This window comes from Homo sapiens, chromosome 5, assembly GCF_000001405.40.
Source record: "Homo sapiens chromosome 5, GRCh38.p14 Primary Assembly".
In the NCBI taxonomy this organism is placed as follows: domain Eukaryota; kingdom Metazoa; phylum Chordata; class Mammalia; order Primates; family Hominidae; genus Homo; species Homo sapiens.
The window spans coordinates 150,152,330-150,166,225 of record NC_000005.10 but is presented as its reverse complement, the minus strand read 5'-3'; the positions used below and the strand labels follow the sequence as shown (position 1 = coordinate 150,166,225).

Sequence of the window (13,896 nt, the reverse complement as noted above, 5' to 3'; positions counted from 1 at the left end):
CTTCCTTACAGTTGGGGGACTGCCTGGGTTGGCCTTCTAGAGAAAGTTCTCAAAAGGCAGTGTGTGTGTGGGTGTGTGTGTGTGTGAGTTAGGGGGGTCTTCTGGGGACATTACAGGAAACTTTTAGTAAATTATCTTGATGACTCTCTACCCTCTTTTTTTAATTGAGAGGTTTCAAGCATACACAAAAGTAGAATTGTATAATGAACTGCTGTGTACCCATCACCCCGCTTCAACAACTATTAAGGTTTTGTCACACTTATTTCACCTACTCCCCGCTTTTCTGAAGTATTTTAAAACAAATTCCAGACATCATGTCATTTTACCCCTACATACTTCAGCACGCATCTCTAAAACACATGGACATTTTCTTACATAATATGCCATTATCACATCTAGCAAAATTAACACAAATTCCTGGGTATTACCTAACACACAGTTCGTATTCAAAGTACTCCAATTGATTCAAAAATGTCTTTTTAGCAGTCTGTTTGTGTGAATCGGGATCCAAAAGCCCTGATCCATTTATTATGGCTGGAGCCCCCTTGGGATTTTAAATGCATCACGTGTTCCTCCACTCCATATGAAGGACTGGCAAACATTTCATAGCTACCTAAGGGGGAGTGGGGGCTGGGAACACTTGAGGGGGTGTCAGTGAACTGGGAGTGGGGACAAGGCTGAGGGATTTGGGGAAGGGTGCATGAAGGACAGGGCTCTGGGTCAGGAAGTCAGATGGGGTCCCTCCGCACAAGGGCTTTGTGCCAGGGAGCTGTGCAGAAGCACCCTGTGGGATTGGATGGGCCCACATTTCCTGGGTTCCTCTCATTGTGCAGGGATGTGTGGTCCCCAGAAGAAGGTCAGAATCAGGGTCTTATCTGTTCAACCCGTCTCTCTCTTGGGTCACCATATTAGCCGGGGGCTGGTCAGTATCATCTCAGGGCTGGGCAGATGTTTCGGGATCAGGACATAATTTGCAGGGCCGGGAGCAAAATAAAAAATATAAGGTCCCTTGTTCAAAAATGATTAAGGATTTCAGGATGGTGGCAGCAGAGCATTCACCTGAGCCCGGGGCCCTTCCACACACTGGGCTCTGTGTGACTGCAATGGTGACCCGCCTGGGAAGCTGGCCCTGGTGAGACTCTTGCTCTTCTGGGGCTCTGATATGTGATAGAGCCAGAGACTCAGCCAGCACAGGGCTCCCTCCGCTTCCTGCTCAGAGGAACCCTTTCCATTGCACAGGTAGAAGCATTGAGGCTCAGAAAGGAAAGGAGTAATGCCCAGTGTTTGCTGCAACATGAAGGCTGCTTGTAGGAGAGGGGAAGGGAAATCCTGGCTGTTGCTGACCGGGCGGAGCCCTTGGCTACCTTGCAGGAGCACATGGCTGTCCACATGTGTGTGGATCAGCACATGACACAGATGAGCACATGGCTGCCTCAGCAGGGAAGATCCCACTTTCCCAGGTCAGGAAGTGGATGCGGTGCTGAAATGTTTCTCTGGAGCTCTGGGCTCTGCTTAGGACTCAAGTTTTCAAGGGATTGGTGGGAAACTGGCAAGTACACAGAGGAGGGAGAAGAGGCCCAAGAGGACTGAACTCCACTTTCTGAGCTGAGAGAACTGGGACTGCTTGGACTGAAGGAAGAGAAAACCTGGAGTGGGGTCTGAGTCTGGGGAGGAAGACAGGGCAGACTTGGGACCTCAGGGAGGAAACTGCAGGCTACAGATGTGGATTTCAGCCCACCCATACGTAAGAAAGTGCTCTGTAAGGGGCCATCTGTCAGGAAATGGGCTGTCATGAGAGAGAGTGAGCTCATGATCACAGGAGGTATGTAAGTGAGTGCTGGAGGTCAGTCTCACGTTAGGGATGCTGGGGGAAAGGATGCCTATCCCGGGGGAAGGGTGCTCTCTAAGTGCCCTCTAGTTTCAAGAGTATGCTCTGTCAGGCCTAAATGGTAGGCTTAAAGGTTGGAAATAGGCATACAAATTCATTTCTTTATGTATGTATTTATTTGAAAAATATATATTATTAACACACCTCCTTTGTGCTGACACTATGTTAGGTACTGAGTGAGGCCCTGCCCTTGCAGTAATTACAGTTGGGGTCTGGCGGGGGTGGACAGGTATGAATCAAATAATCACAAATAAAGGTAAAGTTACATCTTGGCAAGGGCCAGGAATAGGGAGATTTGACCCAGAGGGAGGAGTCAGGGAAGACTTGCAGGAGGAAGTGACACGTGAGTCAAGGCCCTGGGGAGTGGGGAAGGGCGGCAGGGGTCAAGGGTCAGTATGAACAGAGGCCCTGAGGCCCGAGGGGACACTTGTTCCCTTAGCACTTAAAGGCCAGTCTGGAGTGGTAGGGGCAAGAGAGGAGTCCGGCAAGGGGCAGAGCAGGCCCTGGTGGGACAAGCCTGATGAGGGTGTGGAAGGGTATTATCTAGGGGTAGAGTGGCGGAGGGCAGTGGCGGGAAGACAGCTGTGGCTGGTGTGTGGAGAATGAGCCAGAGGAGAGGCGGGGCGCCAGAGAGCAGCAGGAAGCCGGGAAGGGGTCCAGGAGTGGTGGAGATGGTGGCCAGAACTAGGTGGTGGCTGAGAGATGGGGGCCAAAGCGGCAGTCCCTTCCCAGCGGAGCAAAGTCTGTTGTCCTGATCAGGCAGAGGGCAGAGCCAGGGACCCGCACGACCTGGGGAGCCCCTCCAGCTGCTCTGTGGTCCCCTTAGTAGTGTGCCCTCCCAGGGTGGATGTCCCTCCCACTCCACGGACACATCCTGGATTGGGCCCCCACACTTCTGTGGATTCCCCTGTACTAGGCTTTCTGACTCCTAGCTCAGTTCTCTCTGAGATTTCAGGGTTTGGCCCTTGACATTTTGCTGGAGTAATAATAACAACAACAATAGCACTGCTGTGTATTAAGCATTTACTAAGTGCCAGGCATCATCCCAAGCCCTTTGCATGTGTTATCTCAGTTCCTCCTCACAGCAGCACAACGAGGTGGGGTTGATTGTTAGCCCCATTTTGCAGGGAGGAAGCTGGAGCTCAGAGAAGCAAAGTCATCTGCCTGAAGTCACACAGAAGTCAATATCCTAGCTGGAAGGTTTTTTTTATCTTTCTTTTTTTTTTTTTTTGAGACAGAGTTTTGCTATTGTTGCCCAGGCTGGAGTGCAGTGGAGCAATCTCGGCTCACTGCAGCCTCCGCTTCCCGGGTTCAAGCGATTGTCCTGCCTCAGCCTCCTGAGTAGGTGGGATTACAGGTGCCCGCCACCACGCCCGGCTAATTTTGTATTTTTAGTAGAGATGGGGTTTCTCCATGTTGGTCAGGCTGGTCTCGAACTCCTGACCTCAGGTGATCCACCCGCCTTGGCCTCCCAAAGTGCTGGGATTACAGGCGTGAGCCACCGTGCCGGGCCAAAGTTTCTCTTTCTTCTACATCTGGCCCCCGCTGCCAGGATAGCGAGCTGTGTGTGCCTCCCTGCCCCCTAGTTTGTTAGTTGGGATTTTGCTTAAACAAATAGCTGGTTCCTCTTCCTCCTCTGATTTCTTCATGCAAAAAAGCCTCTGCTCTCCCTTTGCCCTCAACCCTAGGTGGACCCCCTGTAGAAGTCCTGAGCCAGCCCCGATGTGGCATCCCCAGTTTCCCCCCAACCAGGACACTGTAACCTTGTTTAAATGACCCAGGCTGGGAGTCTGAAATTGCAGGTCTTCCCACCTTGGCTTCTGACTCGCCTTGTGACCCTGAGCCCCTGGGCCTCAGTCTCCCCCTGTGCTCTCTGGGACTGGGATAGCAGTCCAGCATGGCTCTGTGCGTGGAGAAGGCCCTGTCTACCCTGTCCTGTGGGCAGCCTCTTCCTCTCTGATATCGCCTGCCCCTAGGAGTGGCTGTTTATTGGACCCCTCCTTCCTCTGGCTCCTGGGTAGGCCCCTCTTCCCCCTGGAAGCCCTCCCTCCAGGCTGCTCTCACACACCCAGCCAGGGCCTCCTGGGGTGGGGCACAGAGCTGATGGCCTCATAAAGATCTTAGTGATAACTTGGTTTTTCAATCAGGTTTATGGCCCTAGAAGAGAAAAGTTTCTGGGCTCAGCTTTCTGTTGCAAATAGTTTGCCTAAGAGAAGCTGGTGGGCACCAGGGCCAGTGTTAGGCCCACTGCACTGCACTGCCAGCCTCTTGAAGCTCTCTCTGGACTGTAGTCCAAGGGCTTTGGATGGGGGGCCCATCCCAGCCAAGCCTTAGTCTCGCTCTGTGACCTTGGACACATTAACTCCCCTCTCTGAGTCCCTGCTTCCACCTCAGAATCGGGGATCTTAATTCCTGCCCTGCCCACCTCCAGGTAGGGACAGATGCGGGGGACTCCTGTGAGGCATCTTTGCCTTCCAGAGGCCTCTCTCCTCCCAACACCTTTCTTCTCCTCCTACCCCTCCAGGGGCTGGGGCCGCCACCTGCTGGCACTCCTGGGTACTGCTGGAGGACTCGCCGTACTGTTGCCTTGTCTCAGTAATGCCCGGATGCCACTGATTATCCTAGGGAAACAGAGGGGTAGGGAAGGGTGGCAGTCCCCAGGACACAGACACTTAGGTAGTAGAGGGGATGCTAGAACCAGAGGCCCAGGGCATAGATGTCCTTATCAGAGAAGCACTGTGTCTGACCCACCGTGCTGAGGAGGGTACAGAGGCCAGGGAAGGAAAAAGGCCATACTGTGAGTCAAGTGGCCAGGCACAGGCTGGGACACAGAAGCCCAAACTCCCTGTTGAGATGCATTCCTGCAGCCTCTCAGGTGGATAAAGAGTTGGGGGCAGCACGGAGTACGGGTGTGTGTGTGTGCAGTGTTCAGTCCATGATCGGCCACTGCAGCCTCCACACTCGTCCCATGCCTCCCTCCTGCCCCCTTTCGTCCATCCTCCACAGTGCACTTGGGTGACCTGGTCTCATCAGTCCCCTGTTTAAAATCCTGCAGTGGCCCCTACTGACCCTCAGGATAAAAGTCAGACTCCCTCGAGCCCACAAAGCCCTGATGCCTGGCCACTGACCACCTCTCCAATCTTCCATCCCACTGCCGGCTCTCTGCCTCAACCATTCTTTTCTCTTTGTTCGAACCCATCAAGATCTCTCTGGCCTCCAAGCTTTTGCAGATGCTTTTCCCCCTGCCTCGAACACTGTTCCTACTCCTGAATGTGTGTGGCCTCACAGGCCTGCTTCCTCCCCACAGAAGCCCTATTGTACCTGAACAAGAACTCCCATCCACCCAGCTCATTATTCTCTTTGTCTCTTTCATCACACTCATCACAATTTGATATTATTAATTTGTGGTTTCCTCGGTGTTTGCTTGTGAACTCTGTGAGGACAGGAGGACAGGGCACATAGTAGGTCCTCAATTAACTTCTATCGCATGGATGGATGGTTGGAGGAACAGTTATCTTAGTGATAACTGGGTGTTAGATGGAGAGGCCCCACCCTAGGCCTGCTGTGTGCCCTCAAAAAAGTTCTGGTGCTCTCCAGACCTTAGGAGCCAGTGTATTCAGTGAGGGTGAGGGCCCTGCTCTTCTGGGGATCTATGAGCCATCTGCGTGTACCAGATGGACACACTCAAGTTGCCCACGGTCCTGGGGCTGAGAGGGAGGCCAGCAAGGGGGCAAGGAGAGGCTGAATGGGCAGTGTCTTGAAGCCTTTATCTCCTGGGACCCTGGCAGACCTCGGTGGCTACAGTCTGGCTCAGTAAGACAGTCCTAAGAATCTAGGGAGGGAATGTGGCCCAAGGCCCCTGCTGGTCTTTTGCCCACTCAGAAAGCCACTACACTGAGTGTCCAGGAGGTAGGGGGACAGTTCCCACTCTGTGCCTCTCTGGCTCCCCAGCCACAGGCACAAGGATCTACGTGCTCTGCTCAGGGCATGCATGGGTGGAAGGACACTGAGCTGGGGATCAGGAGTCCTGTATTCTAGCTTCCCTCAGCCCCACCGTGAACCTCAGACAAGTCCCCTCCACTCTCTGGGCCTCAGTGTCCATGCCAGCAGAAGGGACATATCTTAGGGTCCTGACGTCTAAGATGACTGTGTGAGCGCCTGGGGTATGTGTGCTGCTTCCTCATCACCCCCCACCCCCACCCCACAACTCTGCCTGGGGAGCCTGGGAGTGGGGGCAGAGCCAGGAGCGTGGGAGAGCCAGATGTGGTGGCCGCTGCCCTGCCTGAGTGAGGGCTGAGCGGCCTCCTGGGAATTCTCCCACTCAGGCTCCCTTTCCGGTTCCCTCCCCCTGCCCCACTGAGAGCAGCAACTTCCGGCTCTGACAAGCGTGGGTGGGGGAGGGGGGTCTTAGCACGGGGGTCTGTTCAGCCTGGTTCCCTCCTCTGGGGAAGAGCATGGGCTTATGAGTCTAGACAGAAAGCCTCGGTTCCAGTCCCAGTCTGTGGCTGACACATCACAAGGCCTTGCACAAGTTCCTTTCCATCACTGGCCTCAGTCATACCGGCTGTGTAATGAGCATGTTGGTGAGCTTCCCTCCAGCCCTGATGGTGGACTTCTATGACAGCAGCTCTTGGTAACACCTGAGGATCAGTCACCTTTTTTTTTTTTTTTGAGATGGAGTTTCACTCTTGTTGCCCAGACTGGAGTGCAATGGCGCCATCTCAGCTCACCACAACGTCTGCCTCCCGGGTTCAAGCAATTCTCTGGCCTCAGCCTCCCGAGTAGCTGGGATTACAGGCATGCACCACCACACCCAGCTAATTTTGTATTTTTAGTGGAGACTGGGTTTCTCCATGTTGGCCAGGCTGGTCTCAAACTCCTGACCTCAGGTGATCCACCCACCTTGGCCTCCCAAAGTGCTGGGATTATAGACGTGAGCCACCGCGCCCAGCTGGATCAGTCACCTTTTGTGGCACTTTCTTGTTTTGCTCGAGGCTTGACAAAATGCCTGTGGGCATGGCTTATTCAGGTCTCTCCACAACCCTGTGAGGTAGGCACATGTGTCCCCATTTCACAGTTGAAGGTACTGAGGCTCAGAGAGCTCAGGTCATATCATCTCCCAGCGTCACATGGCTGGGAAGTGGTGGAGCTGGGTTGGAGCTGCCAACATCAGAGTCCAGACATTTAACTCTTGAGTGTGCCACCGTGCTGTGGGGGAAGGCAGTGTGGAACCCTAAGGCCCAGAGCCCCCCTCTCCCACTGTACCCCATCCCAGTCCACTTCAGGCAGGGCTCCCCACATTCCATGCTCTGCCCACCTACTCTCAGCCCAGGCTTCCCCAAGACAGCATTGTCCAAGGCTGGACTGGGTTCCCAGTATCTGTGTAGGTGTGAGGATGTTCATAGCTTGTCCTGTCCACAGTGGGGCTGGGGGCCATGCTGACCACCCCAGGGTGATGGTGCTGCACTGCCCATGTGCCCCGTCCATTGCCGCTGAAGGCAGAGTGCACAAGGGGAATCCAAGACCCAGAAAAGGGAGGCTCCGCCCAGGAAGACACAGTGATGGAATGCTGCTCGAATGAGGAAACTCACTATTTCAGTAATAGTGTACACTTAGTACACTTCGAGGCAATGTACTAAGTCCTTTGTACAAACCGAAGAGTCTTATGAATCAGTCTTTGACTTGTCTCCATTTTCCAGAGGAGGAAACCAAGGCCAGGAGTTTAAGTGACTTGCCTAAGCTCATGTAGCTTGAAACTGGAGCAGCTGGGATTCGAACCCAGCTCTATCTCTAGCTCTCCAACCTCCTCTGTCAATCATGACAATTTTGCCCCTTGGTGAGTGCCCTGGGTTGCTCCCTGTAGCTCTGCACCTCCCACCCATATCTCAGTTGAGAGGAGGAGTGACAGTCCTGGTGCCCACCAAGGGTTAATGGCAGTAGGGGCTAAGTAATTCCAGATGGGCCTCAGGACGGCTGGGCTGGCCGGAAACTGGAGGCCGCCAGCTTCCCAGGGGAGCCACCGCCAACTGCCCCTCCCCTTTGTGCTGCATCTCTGGCCCCAGCTGTACCCCTGCCCTAGGGCCCACCAGCCTCCTCTCCCTTGCTAGAGTCCAGCTCTAAGGGAAATTGCAGACGGACCATCCCAAGGGCCTTGTAGCACAGTGAGTCCACAACTGTTATGTACAAATAGGGAAACCGAGGCTCAGGCAGGGCAAGGGACTTATTCAAGTTCTCCTGATAAGTCTGTGGCTGGGTCTTCTGACTCCCAGACTAGCTTCTTTGGGGACTAGGGGGTTGGTGTGTCTCGTGGCCTCCCCCAGGCTGGCCTGGCTGCAGAGGGTCAGCCAAGGATTCAGAGGTGAATGGCCCAGGCAGATGCTAGGAGGGGAGTCGTAAATTTCTGACGGAATCTTTGGGCACAAGAAATCCCTGTGCAAGCCTGACCTTGTGGCCTGTGGGATCTTTTCACATTCCCCTATTTCCCTGTTGCCACAAAGACCTGGCCAGGCCCCCTCTCTCGGGGTACTCTTATGGTCCCCAACCCGTGGCTGGGAACCAGTCTGAGAACACTTCTCCTTCTATGTGGTCCAGCCCAGATGCTCTGCTGGGCAATCCCGATTGGGACTAGACCAAGAAATGCAAGATAGTTGACTGTGGTGGGCATGGAATCCCAGCTCACGCAAATCCTCTGCTCTGTGAACAGGGGTCTGGGGGAAGCTGAGGAGGAAAGACTTAGCGGCGCAGAGGGAAGGAGGGCAGAGCCAGCCTCTACCTGTGTCACCTGGGACAGCTTTCTTCACCCTCTGGAATTCAGTTGCCCTGTGGGTGCAGTAGTGGGAGCAGGGGTGGTAAGCCCACTCTATATGCCCTTCTAAAATAATGCCCTTTGCCATCTGAGGGCTAGGAGTCTGTAACTGGAGATGTCTTCTGATCTGAGAAGCTGAGGGTGGAAGAAGAGACCCAGCTGGGGGAACTGGAGGAGTCTTGGCAGACCCTGGTAGGAAAGGAGAGCCAGAGAATGGAAATGGAACAAAACGGATACTTGAAAGTATCTTGTTGAGGCTGGGTGCGGTGGCTCAAGCCTGTAATCCCAGCACTTTGGGAGGCTGAGGTGGGTGGATCATGAAGTCAGGGGTTTGAGACCAGCCTGGCCAACATAGTGAAACCCGGTCTCTACAAAAAATACAAAAATAGCCAGGTGTGGTGGTGTGCGCCTGTAATCCCAGCTACTTGGGAGTCTGAGGCAGGAGAGTCACTTGAACCTGGGAGGCGGAGGTTGCAGTGAGCCTAGACTGCGCCATTGCACTCCAGCCTGGGAGACAGAGCAAGACTCCATCTCAAAAAAAAAAAAAAAAAAAAAAAGAAAGTATCTTGTTGAGTGACTGAATGAAAGAGCCACAGGGGGAACCTAGGAAGAAAGCAGGGCAGGGGGTTCATCTACACTGGAATAGGGGTCTCGGGTGGGGGTCAGATGACTTGTGTCTCTTCCATCATGTGTCTCATGAGACCTAGTTCTGCCCCAGCTCTGCCATTGCTGCGTAAGCTTGGGAAGCTTATTTTGCTCCTCTGGGCCTCAGTGTCCCCATCTATAAAATGGGGCAAATAATCCTCTCCTTGCACCCCAGGGGCTTTGAGACGTGAAAAGGAATGTATCTGTCAATATCCAGAGATATCCAATCTGTGCTGGATGACCTTGACCAAATCACATTCCCTCTCTGTGCCAATTCACCCCTGGGCCTTGGTTTGTCCTTCTGAAAAACGGCTGATCATCTTGGAGGATCTTTCCATCTCCTCCATGTCACCTCTTCTCAGCAGTGCTCTCTGATTCTCTCAGGCTTCCGTTAGGGGTCCTTCTAAATGCACTCTCAGCCTCCTGTCTGCCGACCGGGCACCTGCTTGCCCAATGAATATCTTGCTCACTAGCCTGGTGCTTCTGAGGTCAGGACCACGTCTTGCTACTGTCCCCTGCACCCAGTACAGTGTTAGAATGTAGTAAATGCTCAGTATGCTTGTTCAATGAATGAAGGTTGACTGAATCAACCACAGAGATGATCAGAGTCTCCTTTACAGATGGGGAAACTGAGGCACTGAGAAATGATCTCCCTGGGTGCCATGGCAAGGGGAGGCCGCCACCCGACATGGGCATCGGGAAAGTGGGGCCGAGGCCACTCTTTGACAAAAGTGACTCAGCAGCTGGCGGCTGGCGTGGGCTGTGGAATTTCTAAGCATCCCCTCACATCCTGAGCGAACGGGCGATGGGAGGGAGTAAGCAGAGTGAAAAGAAGAAAAACAAGAAACTTGGGGGAAAAGAAAGAGAGAGGGGGAAAAAAACTGAAATTGAAAACAGACGCACGCGTCCACCCTCCCTGCCCCGCCGCCCCCCCTTCTCCCAGCTGGGCCAATCAGAAGCCACCCTGCAGCCTTTCCCCCAAAGTGGCGGGGGAAGTGGGGGGGCATGGAAGCCCATAGTGGTGTGAGCTCCTGAGGCTGCCAGCAGCCAGCAGTGACTGCCCGCCCTATCTGGGACCCAGGATCGCTCTGTGAGCAACTTGGAGCCAGAGAGGAGATCAACAAGGAGGAGGAGAGAGCCGGCCCCTCAGCCCTGCTGCCCAGCAGCAGCCTGTGCTCGCCCTGCCCAACGCAGACAGCCAGACCCAGGGCGGCCCCTCTGGCGGCTCTGCTCCTCCCGAAGGATGCTTGGGGAGTGAGGCGAAGCTGGGCCGCTCCTCTCCCCTACAGCAGCCCCCTTCCTCCATCCCTCTGTTCTCCTGAGCCTTCAGGAGCCTGCACCAGTCCTGCCTGTCCTTCTACTCAGCTGTTACCCACTCTGGGACCAGCAGTCTTTCTGATAACTGGGAGAGGGCAGTAAGGAGGACTTCCTGGAGGGGGTGACTGTCCAGAGCCTGGAACTGTGCCCACACCAGAAGCCATCAGCAGCAAGGTAAGTGCTGGAAAAAGTGGGAACCCCAGCCCCATGCCCTGTCCCTTTGCCCTAACCTGCATCTCTTCGAGTAGGTAAAAAAAAAAAAAAAAAAAAAAAGGGAAGATATTTTTAACAAAACAAGATGAGAGGAGGCTGGGAGACTGTGGGTGATGTCAGGGATGGAGGAGCCAGTTTTCTCCTTTCCCCTGCTCTGGGGTGAGTGGCCTCCACCTCATCATCCCTGCTGCTCCTGCCTTCATCAAACAATCCTCAGGGGTTTCTGGGTGCTGACTGGGGGCCTCCAAAGCACAGCACAGTCAATGGGGAGTGGGGAGAGCTGGGAAGAGCGGGAGAGGGGAATTGGGAGAAGGTAGGCAGGGTACACAGAAAGCAGGGGACTGGGGACCTCAGGACCATAGCCGCTGTTCCTTGGCCCAAGCCTTGTTTCTAAGAATCAGTCTGGCTTTAGGCCAGTCAGCCGCCAGGCAACCTCTGGGGATTTAAATGGATTTGCAAATTTTCTAGATTCTTAAGATATCCTTCTAAACCCCCAGCAGCTAGAAAAGTTTGAGGGCTAGGAAAGTTCGAGGGTGATGGGCGGCCATGGCAACCCCCTAGCGGTCATGCTGCTGGGTCTGGGGGCTGGGACCTGGCTGTCAGATCTGGGGGCTCCTCTGTGAAGAAGGGGTCAGCCACTGGGCCATTTCCTTTGGTCCCAGGCAGCTGCTCAGGCCTCCTCGTTGTCTCCCTCCTTCTGGACTCTACCCCTTCTCCATGCCATTCTAAAGCATAAATCCAATCACACCACCTCCCTGCCCAGGATCCGCCTATGGCTCCCCAGTGCCTGGAGAAAGTCCCAGCTCCTAACAGAGGCTGCCACTGCTTGACACTTACTGCACGCCGCAACTGTGCTGAGTGCTTTATGAGACTGATCTCATGTAATGCTCACCAGCAACCCCAGAGGCAGTGACTGTTTTTACCTCCGTTTTATACATGAGGAACTTGAGGCTCACGCAGCCACATAACTGTAGCCACACAGCTAGTAAGTGGCACAGCCTGGAGAGGTTGGAATCTCCCCGTGCCCCATTACTCCAAACTTGGGCCTTTTGTTCCCGCCAGTCAGATCCCAGAATTCCCAGAAGGAATGCGCACCATCCTGCTTGTGGGCATTTGCCCTCCCTCTTCCCCCTTTCTGGAATGCCCTTCCTCATCACTTTTCTTTCAGGGATATTCCATACACCACCTCTTCCAGGCAGCCTTCCTAGGTTCTTCCTGTCTTCCAAGTGCTAGCCATGCACTTTGTGCTGAAGCCATGTTACTTGGCCCTCCCCTGTTGGTGATCTGTTTATGTTCTGTTTGTTCATCAGAGATTGTTCAGGCCCCAGCAGTCAGAACTGAGGCCGCACTTTCTGCTGGGGAAAGGTTTAAGGTTTCCCCATCCTGTGCTCTTCCCCCAGTGCCCAGCCCTGGATAGGCAGTGCGGCTGAAAAAATGTCCTGGTGAAAGGGAGGAGGAGCTCACTGAAGACCTTCTGCTCCCAAGTGTGAGACTAGAACCCAGGCCTCCAGCCTTCTCACAGGTGCCCTTCCAGGACATCGTGTGGCTACTCCAGGCAGCATTCCTCCATTGCAAGCAGGGAGGAGTATCTCTGCTTCCCTCTGTGACCTCCCAATTGCACAGAGGCCTCTAGTGACAAGTTCTGAAGTCATGCAGTCCTCCCCTGTCTCCAAGCAGGAGACCCTGAATCCACAGCCTTCAGGGACATACAGTCCCTGAACACCTACCTCATGCAGGCATAGAGCCTGGTACTTCACACACCTTGGAGTCCTCATGGCAAGTTTTTGAAATCAGTGTTATTACCTACTTTTTGTAGATGAGGAAGCTGAGATCTGGAGAGGCTAAGTGACTTTCCCAGGGCCATACGGTGAGTTAAGGTGGTGTTTAGGCTGAAGTCTGCCTGACTCTAAAGGCTTACCTCGTGCTCCCCGGGAAGCTCCCAGTCAGAGGGAAGAATCTCCATCCTCCTGCAGAGCCTGCTCCTGGCTTCAGCACCTTCCCCAGCAGAAAGTGCAGCCTCAGGTCTGACTGCTCCAAGGTCTGCCCGGGCCCTGGCTTGGTCTTGAGAGAGGAAAGAGACCATCTGGTCAGCACCCTCCTCCCAGACAGCAGTTATCAGCAGCCCCCCTCCTCTGCGGGAAGAAGAGCTGGGACTTATAATTGCCCACACATGTGGGGCAGGCAGTGGAAAGCACCGTGGATCCAGAGTCAGGAGACCCAGTGCTTGCCCTGGCTTGATTTAAATCCACCGTGTGGCCAACCTCAGACCCCCCACATCCCATCTCTGGGCTCCTTCCGCAGCTGGGAGGCAGTGAGCGCTGTGGGTAACCAGCACCAGGCTTGGGCATCAGATGACTATGCATTGACCCCGAGTCAGTTTCTGGCTGACTGTGTGACCCCGGGGCAGCACCTTGCCTCTCTGGGCCTCAATCTCCTTCTCTGTGAGCAGCAGGACCGTGTGTGGGCTCCATGAGACAACAGCATTGGCAAGGTGCTTACCACAGTTCCTGCACTTCACAGCTGGACCTCTGGCCACTGGCTGAGAGAACCACTGCTCTCCTGGCCTCCTGCATTGGAACACTTGGCTGTGAAATTAATCTGCAACCTGCAAAAGGCTCTGCCCACAGAAGGGACCTGGACACCATGTATGTTCCAAAGATCCGTGTCCATCCTCCAGGCACAGGCCACAGTCTGACTCTGAGACCAGCTGCCTTCTAGGCTAAAGGAGGGTGCTCTGGGCATTGGCTCAGAACAGGCTGCTGCTGAATGCAGTGGGAAGGGAGAAAGGGATGAAAAGGTCTTCTGAAATGCCCACCCATTTCTTGCATTTGATTCAGAACCCAGTGGGCAGTGGGTTCTTGGAATGGGAATCTTTTTGGTGCCCCCTGTCTTCTGACCCAGAGCGTTAGGAGGGAAGGGAAGGGGTGTTGGGCCCCTTCCCAGGGTCAGGGCTTGTAGCACCTCAGCTGGGAAGCAGTGTGAGCATGATGATATAACAGGAACCAACTCGTTCTTAGCACTTTCTGTG

General features: G+C 54.2%; 1 protein-coding gene across 4 annotated transcripts in view, besides 5 other annotated features; it reads left to right on the top strand.

The window, feature by feature from the left end:
* Positions 4,391-5,300: an enhancer, noted in NCBI's record as "H3K4me1 hESC enhancer chr5:149540489-149541398 (GRCh37/hg19 assembly coordinates)". NCBI's record gives its function as "activates a minimal SCP1, AML or CMV promoter by ChIP-STARR-seq in naive H9 embryonic stem cells {active_cell/tissue: H9 hESC(naive)}" and the evidence as "EXISTENCE:reporter gene assay evidence [ECO:0000049][PMID:30033119]".
* Positions 6,087-6,156: an enhancer, noted in NCBI's record as "active region_23399". NCBI's record gives its function as "activates an Ori minimal core promoter by ATAC-STARR-seq in GM12878 lymphoblastoid cells {active_cell/tissue: GM12878}" and the evidence as "EXISTENCE:reporter gene assay evidence [ECO:0000049][PMID:35858748]".
* Positions 7,675-8,463: an enhancer, noted in NCBI's record as "H3K4me1 hESC enhancer chr5:149537326-149538114 (GRCh37/hg19 assembly coordinates)". NCBI's record gives its function as "activates a minimal SCP1, AML or CMV promoter by ChIP-STARR-seq in naive H9 embryonic stem cells {active_cell/tissue: H9 hESC(naive)}" and the evidence as "EXISTENCE:reporter gene assay evidence [ECO:0000049][PMID:30033119]".
* Positions 10,381-13,896, top strand: part of PDGFRB (platelet derived growth factor receptor beta) — a 42,007-nt gene continuing 38,491 nt past the window's right edge. For 3 of the 4 annotated variants that reach the window (NM_001355016.2, NM_002609.4, NM_001355017.2), the window contains exon 1: positions 10,381-10,829. The gene's annotated coding sequence lies outside the window, so the exon portion shown is untranslated. Of the gene's footprint in view, positions 10,830-12,268; positions 13,888-13,896 lie in introns of those variants that run through there. The other variant, NR_149150.2, reaches the window with a different exon arrangement.
* Positions 12,621-13,140: an enhancer, noted in NCBI's record as "H3K4me1 hESC enhancer chr5:149532649-149533168 (GRCh37/hg19 assembly coordinates)". NCBI's record gives its function as "activates a minimal SCP1, AML or CMV promoter by ChIP-STARR-seq in primed H9 embryonic stem cells {active_cell/tissue: H9 hESC(primed)}" and the evidence as "EXISTENCE:reporter gene assay evidence [ECO:0000049][PMID:30033119]".
* Positions 13,141-13,661: an enhancer, noted in NCBI's record as "H3K4me1 hESC enhancer chr5:149532128-149532648 (GRCh37/hg19 assembly coordinates)". NCBI's record gives its function as "activates a minimal SCP1, AML or CMV promoter by ChIP-STARR-seq in primed H9 embryonic stem cells {active_cell/tissue: H9 hESC(primed)}" and the evidence as "EXISTENCE:reporter gene assay evidence [ECO:0000049][PMID:30033119]".